General features: G+C 39.0%; 2 protein-coding genes, 1 long non-coding RNA gene and 1 pseudogene across 6 annotated transcripts in view; 2 read left to right on the forward strand and 2 right to left on the reverse strand.

The window, feature by feature from the left end:
- CMSS1 (cms1 ribosomal small subunit homolog) overlaps positions 1-19,162 on the forward strand; it is a 363,871-nt gene that overhangs the window by 98,390 nt on the left and 246,319 nt on the right. The window lies entirely within an intron of this gene.
- Positions 1-19,162, forward strand: part of LOC105374010 (uncharacterized) — a 223,532-nt gene that overhangs the window by 98,390 nt on the left and 105,980 nt on the right. The gene's annotated exons all lie outside the window — the stretch shown is intronic.
- FILIP1L (filamin A interacting protein 1 like) overlaps positions 1-19,162 on the reverse strand; it is a 285,691-nt gene that overhangs the window by 87,441 nt on the left and 179,088 nt on the right. For all 4 annotated transcript variants that reach the window (NM_001387852.1, NM_001387850.1, NM_182909.4 and 1 more), the window contains exons 2-4: positions 14,518-14,779; positions 13,605-13,778; positions 7,979-8,157 (exon numbers count right to left, since the gene is read on the reverse strand). In NM_001387852.1, coding sequence (NP_001374781.1) covers positions 7,979-8,157; positions 13,605-13,778; positions 14,518-14,769 — 605 coding nt within the window. In that variant the 5' untranslated portion in view covers positions 14,770-14,779. The remainder of the gene's footprint in view (positions 1-7,978; positions 8,158-13,604; positions 13,779-14,517; positions 14,780-19,162) is intronic.
- On the reverse strand, positions 9,398-9,639 carry TMEM258P2 (TMEM258 pseudogene 2; annotated as a pseudogene).

The raw sequence follows: 19,162 nt of genomic DNA on the forward strand, positions 1-19,162 counted from the left end.
TGTCCTTGCCACTCCTGATTCTTAGGGCTTTAGATTGGGAATAGAATCTACACCATTGATTTTCTAGCTTTCAGGTCTTTCGGCTACATGACTGGCTTTCTTGGGTCTCCAGTTTGAAGACAGCAGCTCATGCAACTGCCCAGCCTTCAGGATCATGTGAGCCAACACTTTATAATAACGGTTTATACACACACACACACACACACACACACACACACACACACACACACACACGTTCTGTTTCTCTGGAGGACCCTGACAAATACAGTGCTAATGGTCACTGAGTGCTTTTTATGTGCTAGACACCTTACTTAGCACTTGCTGTGCATTATATAATTAGTAATCACAGGAACCTATGAGATCTCTATCATTTTTTAAACAGATGGTGAATCGGAGACTTAACAAGATTAAATGCTTTGCCCAAGGTCAAATAGCCAGTAGGATCAGATGAGAGGATGGGACCATGCTTCATGGTCCATGCTCCACGTTTGTTGTTCTAACTCGAGTCTATGCTTTTAACTCTGATACCCTGTGCTCTTCCATAAGGCCTTTCTGTGCAGTGATACTCACTCATCACTTGTGCCAGCCATCATCTTCACGGCTGGCCAAAGCTGTTTGGCTTCATCTTCTCATCTGAAGAATTAATACACTTGCCAGGAAAGTTTACCTATGAGTTGCAAATTCAGGATACAGTTTAATTCTAATATCCCACCTTGATTTTCACTTATGAGGCAAAAATTTCTATTTTGATATGGTTTAGTGGCTCTTATTCCTCTTTATATTTTTTAGTCCAAATGGAACAGAAGTTTGAGGTTGCCTTTCCACATTCAGTTTTTGGCTACCTGTTTTATAGGGCTGTTAAACTAGTAACCACCAGCTAGTTAGTAGATGTATTATAGAGTATTTACTGTATGTCCTGCATTCTCCTAGGGCTGTGCTGGCTGTTGGATAATTACTGTGTTTAATCTCCTTTTTGCCTGATCTTCCACAGTGTTGCAACAGTGGTGTCTGTGCCACAGAATGAACACCTGCATTCTTCCTAAATTATCTACAGATTATTTTGAGTGCCTTGTCTTTTCACCTGTATTTTAGTTGTGTGTAAAATTTATCTTGGACCTCCCGTAACACCAGGCACATAGTTTGAGTACCTAGGAATGATTCTAGGGATATTCTCTAGAATATCATCAAATATATTGTCAGGAGAGCTGGCTTCTACTCTGACTCTGCAACTATTTAGCTGGAAGATTTGGTGACTTTTTTTTATCTTGGGCTTGAGAGGCCTCACTTTTCTCAATTCAAAAAATCAAAGCATTGGTCTAGATTGCTAGGTCTTTTCTAGCTTAAATTCTTGGCTTCTGAGATTTCTGTAATTTTTTATAGTTATCTGGTAGATTGATTCATGGTGGTTGTATTAACAGGAATAAAAAAGTTGTGAGTGGACTTGGATGTGCAAAGGTGATATTAGGTTAAGTTTCAAATATGTGGAAGCAGTAGGGTATACCGAAATCTAGATGTCCTTTAAGAATGGATGTACAGATTTGGATTTAAAGTTGGTGGTAGTCACTGTCATTCTCACTGACCTCTTTTGGTAGTGGAGTTAGAATCCTAGGCTTGAGGTAAAAGGTACTTGTTCATGACAATCACATAATCACAAATTTTTAGGTGTGAAAGAGACACAGAAATCATAATCATATGCCCTGCCCTTGTTTGTTTGTTTTTTGTTTTGTTTTGTTTTGTTTTTTTTGAGACAGATTCTTGCTCTGTTGCCCAGGCTGGAGTGCAGTGGCGTGATCTCGGCTCACTGCAACCTCCACCTCTTGGGTTCAAGTGATCCTTCTGCCTCAGCCTCCTGAGTAGCTGGGATTACAGGCGCGCGGCACCACGCCCGGCTAATTTTTGTATTTTTAGTAGAGACAGGGTTTCACCATTTTGGCCAGGCTGGTCTCGAACCCTTGACCTCATTATCTCCCTGCCTTGGCTTCCCAAAGTGCTAGGATTACAGGTGTGAGCCACCACGCCCAGCCCCTTGTTTTATATACCAGAAAACTAAAGATTTGAGGAATGGAATTTGCCAAAAGTTATACATAGCTGCAGATCAGGTCTGCAGACCAGACTGCCACTATCTCTAAGCTCCTGGTTCATCCCTCACTAGGCTTGTTAATGTTTTCTTTTTAGCATTCATAGTATTCTTTTGTAAGCAATAAACTCACTATCATGTATGTTCAAATACACATTCAAAATTATTTGTAAAATTTAGTTCAGAAAACTAAATTTCTGGGAAGGAAAAGCAATCAGGTAGCATTGTCACTCTATCTGAATTTTGACCTCTGAAATTAAAAGGCATTGTATGGAAACCGCTGAATTGTGCAGTTTTAAGAGTATGGTTTTATGACATCTGTTGAAAGTTAAGTCATGATGGACGGTCCTAAATGGTTTTTTAGTACCCACATGAGGTAATTAATCTCTCTGCATCCCTTTTCAGATCCTGTGTTAGGTCCAGCATGTATGAACACAAGGCTGATCATGTCATAATTCTGTATAGAATTACAATAACAAAATATTTGTTTGCAGTGGATCTCCATTTTGTTCTGTCAAAGAACTAGATGCCCATGACAAAGGTCAAATGGAGATCTGGCATCCATTTCAATACTTGTAAGACATAGTCTTGAGAATATGTAATACAAATAGCTCCTTGCCAGAAAAACTGAAAGGAAATGATTGCATTTGAGTACAATGTATTCTACAACAATAGTTTAGTGTGTATGAAATTTAAAACTGCTGGCTTTCAAAATATTTTTTTTAAGTAGACTTTATTTTTTTAAAGCTTTATACCCACTGTGTATTGCTTTGTAGGATACCCTTAAAAGCTGAGATTTAAGACCAAAGAAACTGAAAATCTTAATGGCACGATATTGAATTCTCTAGTAAAATACTTTAGTTTAATGTGTTTATTGATTTCTCCTGAATGTTCTGTCTTCATGAGCATTAATGTTATTACATTAGTTTACCATAGTGGTGCCTTTTTTTCTACCCGTCATGAACTCATAATGCCTTAGAAGAATCAGTATCAGGTCTTAAAGCCTGCAGTGGTGTCTTTGTTTTACACAATGAACAAATATTCAGGATTGTATAGGTGAGGACCACATCTACCTTGTTCGCCCAGTATCTAGTATGGGACCTGGCTTGCAGTAGACATATATATTTAATCAATTATTGTTTTTGTTTTGTTTTGTTTCAGTTAATGAATGGCAAGTAGCACTAGCTCCAAACTAATGAGTTTAACCTAAAAATTAGATAAATTAACTCATTCATGTATGTATTTCAAGGAGGTTTCCAAATCCTCTAGAAAGAAAATTTGATGTTTTTGAGAGAAGCCTTTAAAAGTGGTCTGATTTACTCAGTTAACAGTAGGGTCAAATATGGCTCAAGCAGTGTTTTAGTCACCTTGTCTGATGCAGTCTGGAAAAATAGGCCTGTCATAATAGAAAAGGATTGATGGTGAAAATACTTGTTTATAAAGTTGTTTCAGCCAAAGGGAGAGGTGGAAGTGCTTTGTTCTTCATTGAAACTTAACAGCAAAGAACTTCCCAGGGTGTGGTCAAGGCAACAACACTTGAAGCTGGACACCTGGTGACTTTCCTCCAAAGGGCCCTAAGGCCTCTGCACCACTGTTCTATCTAGTCAAACTTGGACAGAAAAGGAACAAGAGATTAATTCTACCTTGACTCCTTTCTTTGTGGTGTTTGAGAAGCTACCATTTGAACTTCTGATTTACAAAACTGAACTATCAGTGCTAACCTACTAGGCCAAGATTTTATGAAAAGTAATTTAAGGCTTTAACACAATCCATGGTTGAAGCCACAGTTTTATACAGAGCTGCCATAACAATATTTCTTTCCTGCTTTAGTTGTTGTTTCAAGACCAGAAATGCAGTAACATATATGGATAGCATACATAGTTTGTTTTAGAATTCTAAGAAAGAATGCATGGTTTCAAAAAAAAGCAACTCTTTTTTTTCTTCAGAGCCTTTTGCCCCATTGAAACTGAAAAAGAAAAAAAAATATGCAAGCTTTTTTGAAAGTACAGACAAAATTGGCATTTCACTTATGGGAAAATTTTGCAAAATTACATTGACTAAAAGTACTGTGAAGCCACACAGAAAGGCCAAAAATTATTGGCATTGCTTTTGTGTAAAAAACCTTTTACATAGACTCCACCTGTAATTCAGCCAAGTACATAATTCAGGTCATTGGTGACACACGTATCCACATGTTGGAGCTGGTCAGTGAACGTTGTCATGAAACATGGATAGAATATTACCATATGGACAGACCAAACCGCACAGATTACAGCTAAGGAAACTTTGCATTAACATGCCTGGGAACAGGCTTTCCTGAGCTGATCCCTGCCCCCACCCACCCTCAGTGGGAAAGCCAATTGCTTACTGATTACGACAGCGACATCACTTGGCAAACATTTTGGCCTGAGCTCAATGTGTGACATCAGTCTCCTTTAGGGTTTTCCACATAAAACAAATTCTCCAAAGAAAACACAGAAATTGAGCCTTAATTTGAAATCCATTATTACATCCTCTGAGGTCTCATTAACTACCTCAATCACGTAGTTCTTAATTTTTGTTTTATTTCCAGGTAGATACAAACCAACACTTAGAATGTGAGCAGTAAACCTTTACCGTGTTTATTTCAGAGTTTCAACCAGATACCCCTTTGTATCTATTTTCAACCAACCTCCCTTTTACTGGGGTTATGATATCTTTGTTTCACTGCTGGGAGGGTTGCTAGTTTGGGAGTGGTTTACAACACTTTGTTTGAGGAAGGAAGTAAACATTGTTCTTTGACCCTTCAGGATAAGTTAGTCTCACTTTTGTGGGAGGCAGCTGTGTCCTTGAGAGAAAGCACTCAGTGAAGTTGGAAGGACTCAGTCATGGTGTGTTTTGCCATGTCACTTGAAAGCAAGGCACACTACGGGTATTTCACACTCTTGTGTGTAAGCACCTCCTCTGAGCGTTTATTTACCTGAAGTCATTAGTTTCCCCCACTTCCTGTTTCGTTAGATGGTATTCATTTAATACTACTTTGATGCACATGGCCTTAAAGCAGATAGAAGTCAGTTATGCCTCATGAGGCCTGCAGTCTCCCAGCAGAAGGCAGGAAAGCATGAAGGGTGGACGTGAATGGGCCCACACTACCAAGATACTGGAATTGTGATGTTCAGGCAAAGCAAGGGAAGTCACATATGCATCAAGGGAGTTGAGAATAGGTTTAATATTGTCACATTCAAAGAATTCCATCTGGAAGGTGTTCCTTGGCATATAGAAATAGATGAATATTCTCATATCTTCTGGAATGGCTAAACAGAGTGATAGACACTTTTTCCTACTTCTTGTTAATGGCATGTTCACTTTAATTATTCTTCAAGGTAAAGAATCCTATAAAGGAAACTTTATATCCTATAAAGCTAAAAGTAATCTCTTAAGTTCTTTCTCTTAAATTCATTTTATATATTTCAAAATACTATTCTTCATATATTGATTTAGTAGTATACACTTTACATTTTTCCCACAATTTTTCTTTTCCTCCAGCCCATGGCCTTTATCCCCACTGATCTTTTGTTCCCATTTCTCAGTGTTGTTCCTTCTTGCTCTCTTGGTTTAAATAATCTTTGCCATCTGCCTCCCAACATTCCAGTATAACTTCAGGATAGCCCTCTCCAGCCTTCCTCCAGAAGATAGTAGAGATACACAGTGAATATCAGAACTCTCCTCCAATAGCCCTTCACATTCCCACCATAAATCTGTATCATCTTGCCTTTTCATTAATGTGGTAAGCCCCCTGGGCAGGGACAGTCTGTACCTCTTTGTATTATGCCAGGCAACACTCTGACCGTGATCAGTAAATGTTCATAATAATGAAAGATGAAAGAAAGTGTCTGTGTTCAGCAAGTTAGTGCCAAATAAGTATGGAGGCCAAATGAGGCCACTAGTGCCAAACCACAGGGGTTCAAAATAATGTTTAATATAACATTGTCTCATTGAATAACAAATCTTATATTGTAATGTCTGAGTCAAATGTTTCTTTGGTGCCAGATTTCTTGTGCTCCTTTAATCTGTCCCTGTAGATATTTCAGAGTTCATGAGGAGCAAGTTAGTAGGACCTTTCCCCTGCCCCCTCTCTGCCGTGTAGTGAAAAATAAACCTCCTGGAAAAAATAGAGTGAATATAAGTGCCATGGATTCTCTGGCACTCCGAAAAAATGCCTACCATAAAGTATATGGAAAATAAATGAAAGTTTGCTATTAGCCTAGATATTGAGGTAACTAACTTAAGTTACCTAGCTGAAGTATGAATTGGAAGTAGTTGAATAAGCCATTTGAGATTGGTTACTTTCCATCTTTTCAGTATCAATAGAGAGGGTTAATTGTCCTTTCAGTTTCATATGGATGCTTATACTGTCTACAGTGGTTCAGAATAGAGGGTCAAAGTAGAACAAAATAATCTACCCTACATATGGTTAGAAAATATTTACCAACCAAACTCTCCTTTTTTGCAGCCACGCTTCTCAAAATGCTAGTTCACATTTTAAGCTTCTACATTCTTATTTCTTATTTTGTTTTTTAAAGCATTGCAATTTGGCTTCTGCCCTTACCACTTTATTGAAATGGCTCATTAAGTTCCTCAGTATTTTCTTCATTGCCAAATCCTGGGACATTTCATTCTTTTCTGCATTATTTGGTGCTATTTGACTGTTCACTCTCTTTTTAAAGTCTTTGCTCACTTCATTTCATTGCCTTCTTTGTCTTCTGGTTCTTCTAAGCTTCCACCATTTTTTTTTTTAGCTTCCATTTTCAACCCCCTTTTTCTTCCAGAAAACTGCCAAGCCTTGATGTATTCTAGGGTTCCCTTTCAACATTCTCTCTTCTCACCACACCAACACCCACAGTTTCAGCTATCACCTGCTGCAGGTCCATATCACCAGCCCATCCTTCTACAGACCTATATTTCTGACCATGGGTTGACTTTATACATATTATTCTTTACACCAGATACTGTAATATACCAAGGTACCTCATACTCAACATGTCTAAACCAGGACTCATCTCCTACCTACTCACCAAGTAGAAACCATCCTGCCTGATCAAAATCCTACAACACAGAAAACTGTGCCCCATTCCCATATTTCATATGTTCCTGAATAGCCAGGAGTGCTTCTCAGTAACTCCTTGTTTTCCTTGCTCTTCTTTCCAGTCTAACCAGTCACTAATTCATATTGACTAAACATCATAAGTAGTTCATGCGCACACCCCCCTCCCAACCTCATGGCTGTTGGAACACATCCCCTCATCTTTCTCATCTGGATATTTGCCTCCTATGTGAGTTTCCTGCGCCCAGTCTAAAGCTCCTCCAGTTGTTCCTCCATGTTCCCTTAATCGTTCTTTAGGAAAGCATAACTGATCATCTTATTTTCCCTTTCACAATTTTCCATTTGCTCCTTCAGGCCAACAGTATAAAGTCCAGCTGCTCAAGGCAAGCCTTTCCTTTTCTCATCCTACAATCATGCCCTATGCTGTAGCCATGTGAAAAGCTTGAGTTCCCTCAAAATGCAGGTTCTTTTCTCACTTCTATACTAACACACTTATTTCACCCCTTGCCATGAATATGGTTTTCATTCTTGTTTGCCTAGGGACTAGACCCCTGTTGCCTGGTCTTTGCAGCCTTCACAGGGCACTCCCTTCAAGAGTTAGGGGCCTAACATTTATGGTTCCACAGTCCTTATCACACATCTGGTTATCCATACATTGTACTGATAATGTCTTCAAACATATCCTTTTCCTCACCCTGGACTATGAGATCTTTGAGAACAGAGACTGTGTCATATTTATCTTTGTATCCCTGAGACCTGGTACAGTGGCCAGCTCATAGATTGCAGAATGGGACATTGTTTGCCCAAAGCAGCCTTACCTTTCACATTCCTGTTCTAGTAGGCATATGAATTCATCACTCTTCTCCATGTATTCTTTATGTTTTCTCTTTTCTTCCTCCAACTCCAATATGGTTTGCCTACGGGATTTTTCTGCCACTAAAAGCTGTCCCAGGATTCGTCTGTAAGATTCTTTATGTTTTTCCACAACTTTGTCCAACTACGAAAGAAAACATTTATAGCCTGTTACCAAATTGTTTATATACTGTTGTCTTTCACTCTTTTAGAAATGTCCCTGTTTTGATTAATTCGGCAGTGGGTTTTTTTGGTTTTTTGTTTGTTTGTTTTGAAACAGTTTTCGCTGTCGTTGCCCAGGCTGGAGTGCAATGGCGCGATCTCGACTCACTGCAACTTCCGCCTCCCGGGTTTAAGCGATCCTTCTGCCTCAGCCTCCCAAGTAGCTGGGATTACAGGCATGCGCCACCATGCCCAACTAATTTTTTTTGTACTTTTAGTAGAGACAGGGTTTCTCCACGTTGGTCAGGCTGGTCTTGAACTCCTGACCTCAAGTGGTCTGCCTGCTTCGGCCTCCCAAAGTGCTGGGATTACAGGCATGAGCCACGGCGCCCGGCCAGCAGTGGGTTTTTTATCTCCTTGTTTAGTGTTTATTCTCTTGTTAATTGATACTTTTGGGTGCATTTCAATACAAATGTAGTCTCTTTATTGCCATCAAATTTTTCTTGACAGAATAATCTGTGTCCCTGTGGGTATCAACTGTTTCCACATAACCTCTTTCTGACACTCTTATGTCTCTCTCCTGAGAAGCTACATTAAAGAAATGACAGGAAGTAAGAGAATCCTTGCACGGTGCTGGATTCGCAGCTGCCCTAGCTGATCTCTTCTGCCCCAGCCCACCCTATAGTTCTCTGTACCAGTATATGCCTCTTGGATCGCTCTACCAGGACATGCTATGATTTTCATTTTATTATACATCAAGGTATTTCCATTAAAATAGATCTATGAATAGATAATCTATTATGTGTTGGTGTATAGTGTGAATGTCACCAAATGTAAGTACTAAGTCCATTCAGATTTTCACAGCACTATACTTACATCTTTTTTACAAAATGATCAACCTGTGGCTGATACATGTGTTTGTCTCCCCTGCTAGACTGTGAACTCCCTGAAAGCTGGGCCTACATCCTTCTTTTTTTATTTTATTTTTAATCCTTGGCATCTAACAGAGTGCCTTGCTTATAAGAGGTGCCCAGTTTACAGACTGGAAACAAAACAAGCAAGCAAGGAAACTGAGATTTTTTTTGTTTTGTTTTGTTTGGTCACACATCTGCCTTTATTGTGAGCAGCATGTGGGACACTTCCAGCAGTAGTTTAAAAAAAATTTTTGATTAACAAAAGTAGGGATTCAGAGAAGCTGTCCAGCTGGTACCCTTAGGGGCTTATACGTGGATGCTAAGCCACAGCAGCAGGACAGGACTCCATAGCCTAGGAAGAGTGAGAGCACCAAGGACATGAGGAGCTCTTGGCAGATATCCCAAGTGCACTTGGTGGAAGTGGAGGTGACCTCATAAAGGAAGAACCAGGCAGTAAAGAACATGCCAGTGGCCAAAAGCATCACAGTCAGATGGAGTTAGACAGCCAAGCTCACTGGGCTGGTTTATCAGCTCCTGGCCTTGAGCTCCATTTTGCCCAGCACGGGGTAAGCTGCCACCAGAAAAACATGTTGGCAAGAGCTAACTCGGGATCTTTTGCTAGTGATAAATTAATATCTATTAAGAACTTGGTTTTGAAAACACCCGACTTTCTAGATTAGATACAGATGCAGTAAGTGATAATGTTGATTGATTTTTACAGTTTGCCTTTGTCATAAAAGATTTAGAATGTGTGACTCATTGTGAATTTAAAGCCAATTTAAGTTGTGTATCCTAAAAAGCATGTACTTGACTAGAAATGTACTTGACTAGAAATCTGGGCACAAAATGACCAAGTCATTTCAGAAAAAGAGTACAACTGAGGTGTCCCAGCATATAGAACCCAGTAAATTCTCTCTGACTTCTAAATGCTTAAATTCACAAAATACTTCATTATGCCATACAATTGTTGATGATTTTTAATGTAGCCAGTCCTTTTGTGAAAGCTGAAACTGCTATGTTGTATTGCCTGCTGGCAGAGGCATCTTCTGAGGAGGCTCTAGTGTTGATTGTCATGGAAGTGTGTTTCAAACCACTGCAGCCCTCTGAAAATTTTATCTTCAGTTGCCCAAACATTAGAGTCCATTGTAAGGAAAATTCAAATCAACTCCTTTTGCAATTTGAGAGTGAAATAGTGATAGGATCAGCTTTACTTTAGGGAAGTTATTAGTTGACTTAGAAAATACATTCAATTTAATTTGTCACAAGATTGACATTAGAATTAATGTATGAATAATTATAGTAGGTATTCAGTAAAGCATAAATGAATTACTAAAAGAGGCTTTTCTAAATCCAAAAACAGTATTTCCTTGGAGAGCTTGTTGTAATTGTCAAGATATGTATATTAAATTTTATACAAACCAAAGAGAGAAAATAGAAGGTTTATTTAATCCACTCTTGCTTTCCATTGTTTTTTTCCCTTTATATGTTCGTGGTTGTTTGAAGGGAATGGAAAGAAGGCTAGAAGGAATCCGTGCCCTTCATTTATTCCATGACCCCCTAAGTGGTCTCCCTTCCTCTAGCCTTACCTCCTTGCAGTCTGTCCTCATCACTGACAGCATGATTTTTCACCACTGGGACTCCACTCTCCTGTTCGGGGCCAAAAGGCCCTTCACCATCTGAACCTCCTGCCACCTTGGCCCCATCTTCACTCCATATCTTCCCACCGATCCTACCCAACTTTCAGCCACACTGGACTTCAGGCAGTTCTTACAATTCACCATGGTGCTTCAAGACTGCTTTTTTCAATGCCAAGACCTGGAAATCTTTTTTCCTCTTTCACCAAAACTTTCCCTATACATGAGCTTTTCAATACATATTAACTAACTAAATGAATAAAATTAAATTTAAAAGCTTAATTATACCATTGCTTAAGGTAAGTATTTTAAGATTTGCCCTAGGTTATGCTAATAATACTGAGACTCTTTTATTATAGTGCCTTGGTAAATCCAAAATGTTGTTATATTTTCTTTCTGTTTTTTTTTTTTTTGAGACGGAGTTTCGCTTTTGTTGTTCAGGCTGGAGTGCAATGGCGTGATCTCAGCTCATCGCGATCTCCGCCTCCTGGGTTCAAGCGATTCACCTGCCTCAGCCTCCCAAGTAGCTGGGATTACAGGCATGTGCCACCACGCCCGGCTAATTTTGTATTTTTAGTAGAAACGGGCTTTCTTCATGTTGGTCAGGCTGGTCTCGAATTCCCGACCTCAGGTGATCTGCCTGCCTCGGCCTCCCAAAGTGCTGGGATTACAGGCATGAGCCACTGCGCCCGGCCCATATTTTCTATAATATATTTTTTGGAAGAACTAAGAATACCTTAGGCTATTAATTTTTTTTTAAAATTAAGTTCTGATATAGAACCCTAGGCTGGAAAGGAATAGGAGGTCAAAACTCTTGTGGACTGAGTCCTTGCCTCTTCCCGCCCTCTTGACCACACCTCTGCTCCTAGCCCCAGCCCCAAGCATGTTCCAGCTCACAGGCTTCCACCAGTTTTTCATCTTAAGTCAGTGTTCCTGTCGTGTCATGTAACCGAGAGCTGTTTGTTCTTCTAAGTTATTTTGCCTTAAGAATTAGATAAATCACCTCTAGTTTACCCTAGACATGATTGAGATTTTTTAGGTTTTTCAAAAAGAACATTATGAAGAAAATAAAAGGGAGAAGGGGCTGTTAACACTTCAAGATGGGGGAATGCAAAAGAAGAATAACTTTAGCATTCAAGATGCTTATTCTCATGTAATTAGGATACAGTCACAGCTGGTCTCAGCAGGAGCACTGCCCTCCCTTTATTTTCTTCAGCCCTGTGTAGGAAAATCCTAGGCAGAATTCCCCTTCACTGTTTATTTTCGGGGCATTCCCCTCTCACCTAGTACTTCCTAGACCGAGGAAAAGGATAGACAACTGGGTTGTGTACGTGGAGTTATTTTGGCTTCGAGGAATTGCATAAACTGATATCTGAGGACAGAGAAATCCATAAGGGGGAAGTAGAGGAAAGAGAGGAAAATTGGCAGATCATGGAGGTGGGAATGTGAGAGGTGTATGTATATAGGGGTATCTGTTGGAGGAGTAATCAAAAAAGGCTGGACTTGTAAAGTAGGGCCAGATTATGGGTAACTTTCAGGGGCACCTTACAGAGTTAAGACTGCAAGCATTTGTAGAAGGGGGGTATTTCCAATTTTGCATGTGCACAATAGAATTATTTTGTAATTAAATTTTTTCCCACCGATTTCAACATAAGTTTGGAATCATCCTGTTCCATTTCACACTGAAGTGTTGAGAGGTTATGCCATTTGTAGAGTTTTGTTAGGGTTATGTTCAGAGATCATTAATTTGCATTTGAGCTCACAGGGGTTGGGGAATTTGTGCCTGACACTGTTTCATAGTTAATATGTTGGGAGCCAGGATACAGTTTTAACAGTATTCACTTGAATGCAGCTCTGGTTCCTTTTGTTTAAAATTTGGATTAAAGTGCAAATCAACAGACTTTGGGTGGTCTCATCCTCACCCCGTAGAGAAGCAGATACATATGACCAAACTCCTTCACTATTTGGCAAGACAGTAGTCTCTTCTCTCATGAGATACTAAAGACGAGAATAGCAAGGACATTAGAGGTCAGTCCTGAGGTAGGTTGCCAGAGTTTATTTGAGGGAAATTTGTCTGAAACTTGCTTTCACTCTCCAGCCTCAACTCATGTTCCTAGTTGTTTCTTTTCTATAAAAATGAAAAATTATGAAATTTTCCATGAAGGTCTCAGAGGAAAATTAAAGAATAAAATAAGAATTCCAAAGGGTTTCAGAAATGTCAGCAAGTAAAAGAGCAAGCAGTACTGCCTTCTCCCTAGTGGTGGCCCTGTTGGGACTGCCCACCTTTGCCGTTGTAATTGCTAGGTACGCTTGGTGAGGGAAAGGTCTTTGCTGTCATTAAACTTTGAAGGAAAAAGAAGGTATGCACTCATCTAAAATATATGTTTTTAAAAACTCTATTTCTTGGACAGTTCTTTAGATTATTTCCATTCATGTTCAAAATTTCTATGACATAATACCTCAGTGTTTTCCAAAAATTAACCTCTATGGTTGAACTTTATGTTTTTTATTACAGCCTGGGTACCCTGCAAGTTCCCAGAGTGTGTGTGTGTGTGTGTGTGTGTGTGTAAGCACATGTATGTGTGTGCATGTGTGTGTTTGTGTGTGTATGTGCCTGCACATGCACGTGAGAGTGGGGAGCATTCTCTGGCATTTGGTAGATTTTGGTTGATTCAAGCAACAAACCTAGTGGACGCATCCTGTCTATGGTTCATTCTTTTTAACTTTCCTATTGAACTTGTCGTATTTATCTGTTTTGTGTAGGCTTTAAGTGCGTTAGAAAGTAAAACTGTAAGGAATCAAAGAGGAGTTACAGATCATGCTCATCTGCAGGGCTAGTGCTTGGCTGCCTCCCAGGTACACACCCCTATTGTGGTACATACCTCATTCATTGGTTTCTCATAGATGTCCTCCTGCCAAGGGGTAGATTTCGCTTGAAAAGCATCTCTCTGGAGAGCCTCTAACACCTTTTTTGGAGTGACAAACCCATACTGAGCTTCCAGCAAAGCCAGGTCCATTTTTTCAGCCTTTAAAATGCCTATGACCTCATCTCGAGCCTGTAGGAACAAAAAGTATTTCAGAAAGCCTGCTGTCTCTACCAGCAGTCTCAGCAAGTGATTTTTGTGATAGTTGGCAGTGCTTTTTCTTCTCTTTCAAATCTAAATGAATCATATTTCATTTTCACACTTTTATAAAAGGTAACAAAACTATATCCCTTCATCCTTCTTGTAGTCTAATTACACAATTAATGTTTTAAAAAGTGATTACTATACAACATTGGAGGACTACTTTTTTTATTATGTTTGACAAGCAGATATCATGATATCCATCAATGTACTAGCATTTGGATTTTCAGGGGGTAGGAAATAAAATTCTCCTATATGTGTACCAGCTGTTTTTAGATTTTCATGTAGGTTAATAATGCCAGGGCTAGTCTAGGAGCCAGTTCACTTGGGGTACAAAAGCACCTATTGTTGTTTAAACCAATCCCGAAGTCATCTGGCATTATTGCTACTGATGCATGCATGTGCACTGAAGCTCCTGAGCAGCATGGGCAGAGGATGTGACCTTTCACGACCTGTATGCCAATCACATGTCATCATGACAGCCCCTTTAGATGGGATTAATTGCACTTTGAGTTGGCAGAGGAGAATTCTTTGTATATATACTTATGCTTTGCTTTCATGTACACACATGTATGAACCACAGATATCTATTTCTGTGGCAGCAGGAACACCAAATTCACAAGCAGCCTTCTGTTTGAAGCATGATGGGGATAACTCCAACCCAGCTGACCTGCAGTTCTCCCTCCAGAATGCTGAGGAGAAATAACAGGTCATCTCTTGAGAGGTCTTCTGCTTGGTGGCCATTACCACTGTGTGGCTTCTCTGCCTTGGGACACGGAAGTATTACATCCGACTCACTGGGGGAGTCTTTGTCTTGCTGTCTATGCTTCATGTTTTTAGGCCCTTGGAAACTGTGGCCTTTAGTATGTCTTGGAAATTTCTTTTGGGCTGAGCCCTCGGTATCACTGCCTCTGGAACGCATTCTTTAAAGCCTGGAAGGAGGGAAGAAAATTTGTAAAGCTTAATGGAAATGGAGTTTTAATAAGAGTACCTATTACTGCTTTAACAAGTCTACATTCTTGTTATATTTACCACAGCCCCAAAGTCAATCTTTTTGATGTCTACAGCAGAGAAGGATATTAGCAGATTCATAAATCACAGTCTTATTTGCACTTCTGCTTTTAAAGCAAACATTTAAAAAAAGGTGTTCTGTCTTGATTAAGGCCACTTATGTCCATGGGTAAACAGGCTGTGTTTGAACTTCATCCCCCAAGCATTCCACCTCAGGAACCCAGGTCAGACCTCCAACCATGACCCTAAGTGCTTGCTTAAGACGTACTTAACATAATTATAATATTGTAAAATGGTGACTTTGCTAATTCTTCTAACTTTCTTCAGATTTACTTTATAGTATTTCCTTTAAAATTGTTGGGAGCTTTTATGGGGTTTTTTGTTTTGTTTTTAAAATTTGTTAGCCTTTAAAAGTGCATTAGGACAGAAATGGCAGAGTTACTGCTACAGAATTACTGCATTATTTTGTTTTGAAGGCCAAGTCTAGTATTAAAGGAATGAAGGCTTGGTCCCTGGCTGTATTCCTGTATTCCTGACATTCTTCTAAAATTCTAGATCTATCCTTGGGTAAGTCAAGGGCTTATATTTAGGACCCTCATCTTCAAAGCGGAGATACTACTACCTAACGTAGTTGGCCATTCTGGAAACAATATAAAATAAATTAATGTTTAAAGGACACATTAGCTCCACATCTGATTATATAATCATCCAAATGAATTTATAATAGGAAGAAAAATTCTTCCACTGTTGAGGTTTATAACTAGGAGAGAAAATATCAGTTGAACTTATAATTGACTCTATGGCATATAAGCAGATTATTAATTTTACTCTTTGTCCCTACAAATCATGAAACTTTCATCATCGCCAGTACCTTACTTTTAGTTTGTAGTATTTCTTTAAAAATCTGAAAAACTCAAGTGTCCAGAAAAGTATAGAAACCATAACAAACTGCTATATGCTACCACACAAATTTATAAAATTTTAATAATTTACTGTATATTAGAAAACAGTTTTTAAGTACTGTATTATAGATGTATTATAATGTATGTATCTCTTCTGAAACCCCTTCTCCTCCCTTCCCACTCCAGAAGTAACCACGTAATCTTGAATTTGGTATTTATCATTCCCCTGTATGTTTCATACTTTTTAAAAACATGTACATATATATTGCTGAACAATGTATAGTATTACATTTTCAAACCTTATGTAAATACCATATTGAATGTATCTTTCTAAAACTTGCTTTTTCATCCTAGATTATATTTTTGAGATTCTTCCTTGTTCTATTTTACTGTAGTTTATGTATTTTGATTGCTGTAAGAATATTTCATTATATAGTCCATCATTTACTTGTTCATTTTACTGTTTTTGAATATTTTTTTTTCAGTATTCAAAAAAATGCTACTTCAAACATTCTTGCACATTTTTTTCCCTTGTGTTAGGTGATAAGAATTCTGTCACAAATCAGCTGTGGAACTTGATTAAGACATTGACCCATTGCCAGGCACAATGGCTCACACCTGTAATGCCAACACTTTGGGAGGCCGAGGCAGGCGGATTACCCGAGGTCAGGAGTTCAAGACCAGCCTGGCCAACATGGCGAAACCCCATCTCTGCTAAAAATACAAAAAATTAGCCAGGTGTGGTGGCACACACCTGTAATCCCAGCTACTCAGGAGGCTGAAGCCCAGGAATTGCTTCAACACAGGAGGCCGAGGTTGCATTGAGCCAAGATCGCGCCCGGCACTCCAGCCTGGGTGACAGAGTAAGACTCTGTCTCAAAACAAAAAGGACATTCACCCTCTTCAGGTCCAATGACCTGATCTGGAAGTGAGGGAGCACTTACTATGTGTGCTAAGCATTCTTCTCAGCATTTTCCATGTATTAGCTCATTCAAGTCTCACAACAACACTATGAGGTAGGGAATATTATTATCTCCATTTTACAGTGAACAAATGGAAGCACGGGAAACTTATTGAAGGTTGCACAGCTAATAAGTGGCAAAACTGGGATTTGAGTCTAGGAAACCTGGCTCAGGGACCCACACTCTTAAAAATCATGCCGTAATGTCATTATGCTGTATTGCCTAAGACAAATGCATATATACACTGGTACAAATACCTTGTCCGAAAAATGCCTATAGCCTTACTGAAGAGACTATTTACAAATACGGTATAGATGAACAATGATGTGTGACAGTAGTTGTCACTGGCTCTTCCCTAGGTAGCCAGGGAAAGGCTCATTTATTTGAGAAAAGCAAAGGCATAGAAGGGATATTTTTGTGTAGGAATGGGAGGTTGGGGATGTGTAAGAGATGAGATTGGGAAAAACCTCATTGTGTGTATATCTATTTATTTATAAAAATATTCATGTACTACCACAGTATATTATGTGCTTTATAAAAAACATTCAAAAAAGACAAAAATGAAAAATTATACATAAACAGGATTTCTAATTATCTTTCCCCACCCCTATTGTATTTTCTTGAACACCTAGGAATATCCTTACTCTGGGCTATAGAAATAATGGAAGGTTGTTACATAAATATATTTAATATAGGTAAATATTACATTCTGCTTTATTTATAGGTATGTTCACAGATTAATTATAGGGCCATCTATGTCCTTTGTCTTATATTTTTAAGACAATTTTATTCTTCATTCATGTCTCACATGGCGTATCTGACCTGGTGCTCCATACATAATGGGCATGCATTAGGGTGACTGGCTTGCTCCTTTTACTTTGTGCCCAACTGTCTCAGGTACATGTTAGTGTTTAACAAACAACCCCAAAACTTGGATGGAGGCTAAATAACAATGGCTCAGAATTCTGTGGGTTACTCCACAGCTTCAGCTTTCTTACAGCTATTCTGGGCCTGGATGGTCTAAGACGGGCTCTCACGTATTTGGCTGTTGGTTAGTTGGACTAGGAGAGCCTCAGCCGGGTCATCTCATCTCAGCTGTATGTGACTCTCAACTTACAAGAAGCTAGACCAGGCTTCCCCACATGGTGGTCTCAGGATAACATTCCAAGAACGTGAGAGTTGAAGCTCCCAACATCTCATTTGTGAAAGAATGTCACAATGTCAGCCCAGATTCAAGATTGAGGAAATAGATTACACCTCTACATGGAAGAAGATACAAGGCCACATTGCAAAGGAATGGAAGGAATTAACTGCAGCCATCTTTGAAAAAGTTCACCACACCCACAGATTCAGATTTCTGTGAAAATCTAATAAAAGTCTAGTTTAAAAGAGGAGCGAAATATATTTGGTTCTTTACTTCTTTTCATTTCCTGGAAGTACATAGGGTTTGGTTTTTGTTTTTTTCATTTTACATGATGAATTCCTATGTTTTCCTCTTGCCCACATAGTCCTGTGTGGAACAATAGTCTACTGATAAGAATCAACTTGTATCCTGCTGCTAATCAATGAGAATTTCTCTGCCCTCATCAACTTAATCTAGGATATCCCTTCCAGAATACCAAGATAATGTAAGCTTTTATTTAGCAGGGTAATTTGCTAAACATTGTTCATAAGTAGTGCCCTTTTAGCTTAAGGCAGCCCTGAGCTGCAACAGAAGACTGAATGGAGCTCTGTATACATTCTAGCTTCCTCACCTCACTCTTAAAGTGGGTTAGATGAAATCTGGTAGGAGAACATAGATCATTTGCCAGTGATGATATTCATAAGTGGTAAAAAAAGGAATGACCTGAAACATTTTTATACTGTGTTTGTTATTCTTCTAAAGAGATTAGAGTTTTACTGAGACCACCAATTCTCTTTGGAGGCTGGGGATAGTAGCATCAACATTCTCACTGATTAATGAAGTGGTGTTCACATTGGATTTGTGAACAGACCCATCATATGCAGACTTCTGGTCTACTGAGGAGCATGTGTCTCTACATGTTTACAGTGGTGGAGTTTCCTTGCCCCTCTGCCAATAACCACAAAATGATCAGTAATGAGAAATAATTAAGTATCTAGAGGAAGAAAACAAAGACATGAATTTCATGATACTCTCATGCTTTGTATTATCAGTGACTTCATTGTTTCTCTTGGCAAATTTTTAATGCATCTGTGCTTGGCCCAGGGGTGCATACTAGGGTAAAGAAAAATTTTGTAATAGCAACAGTGGTTTGGGATTTTCAGGGTACCAAAAAAAAAAAAAGGAAAGTTGCTTTTTGTGTATGCCAAATAATGATACTTTACTCTTCATGAAGTGCTGACCTAGTACCTAGTGAGTTTACAAGGGAAAAAAACCTGCTTAGTTGTCAGTTTAACACAGCCTAATGTGTTGTTATCT

The sequence above is a fragment of the Homo sapiens genome, chromosome 3 (genome assembly GCF_000001405.40).
Source record: "Homo sapiens chromosome 3, GRCh38.p14 Primary Assembly".
NCBI lineage: Eukaryota > Metazoa > Chordata > Mammalia > Primates > Hominidae > Homo > Homo sapiens.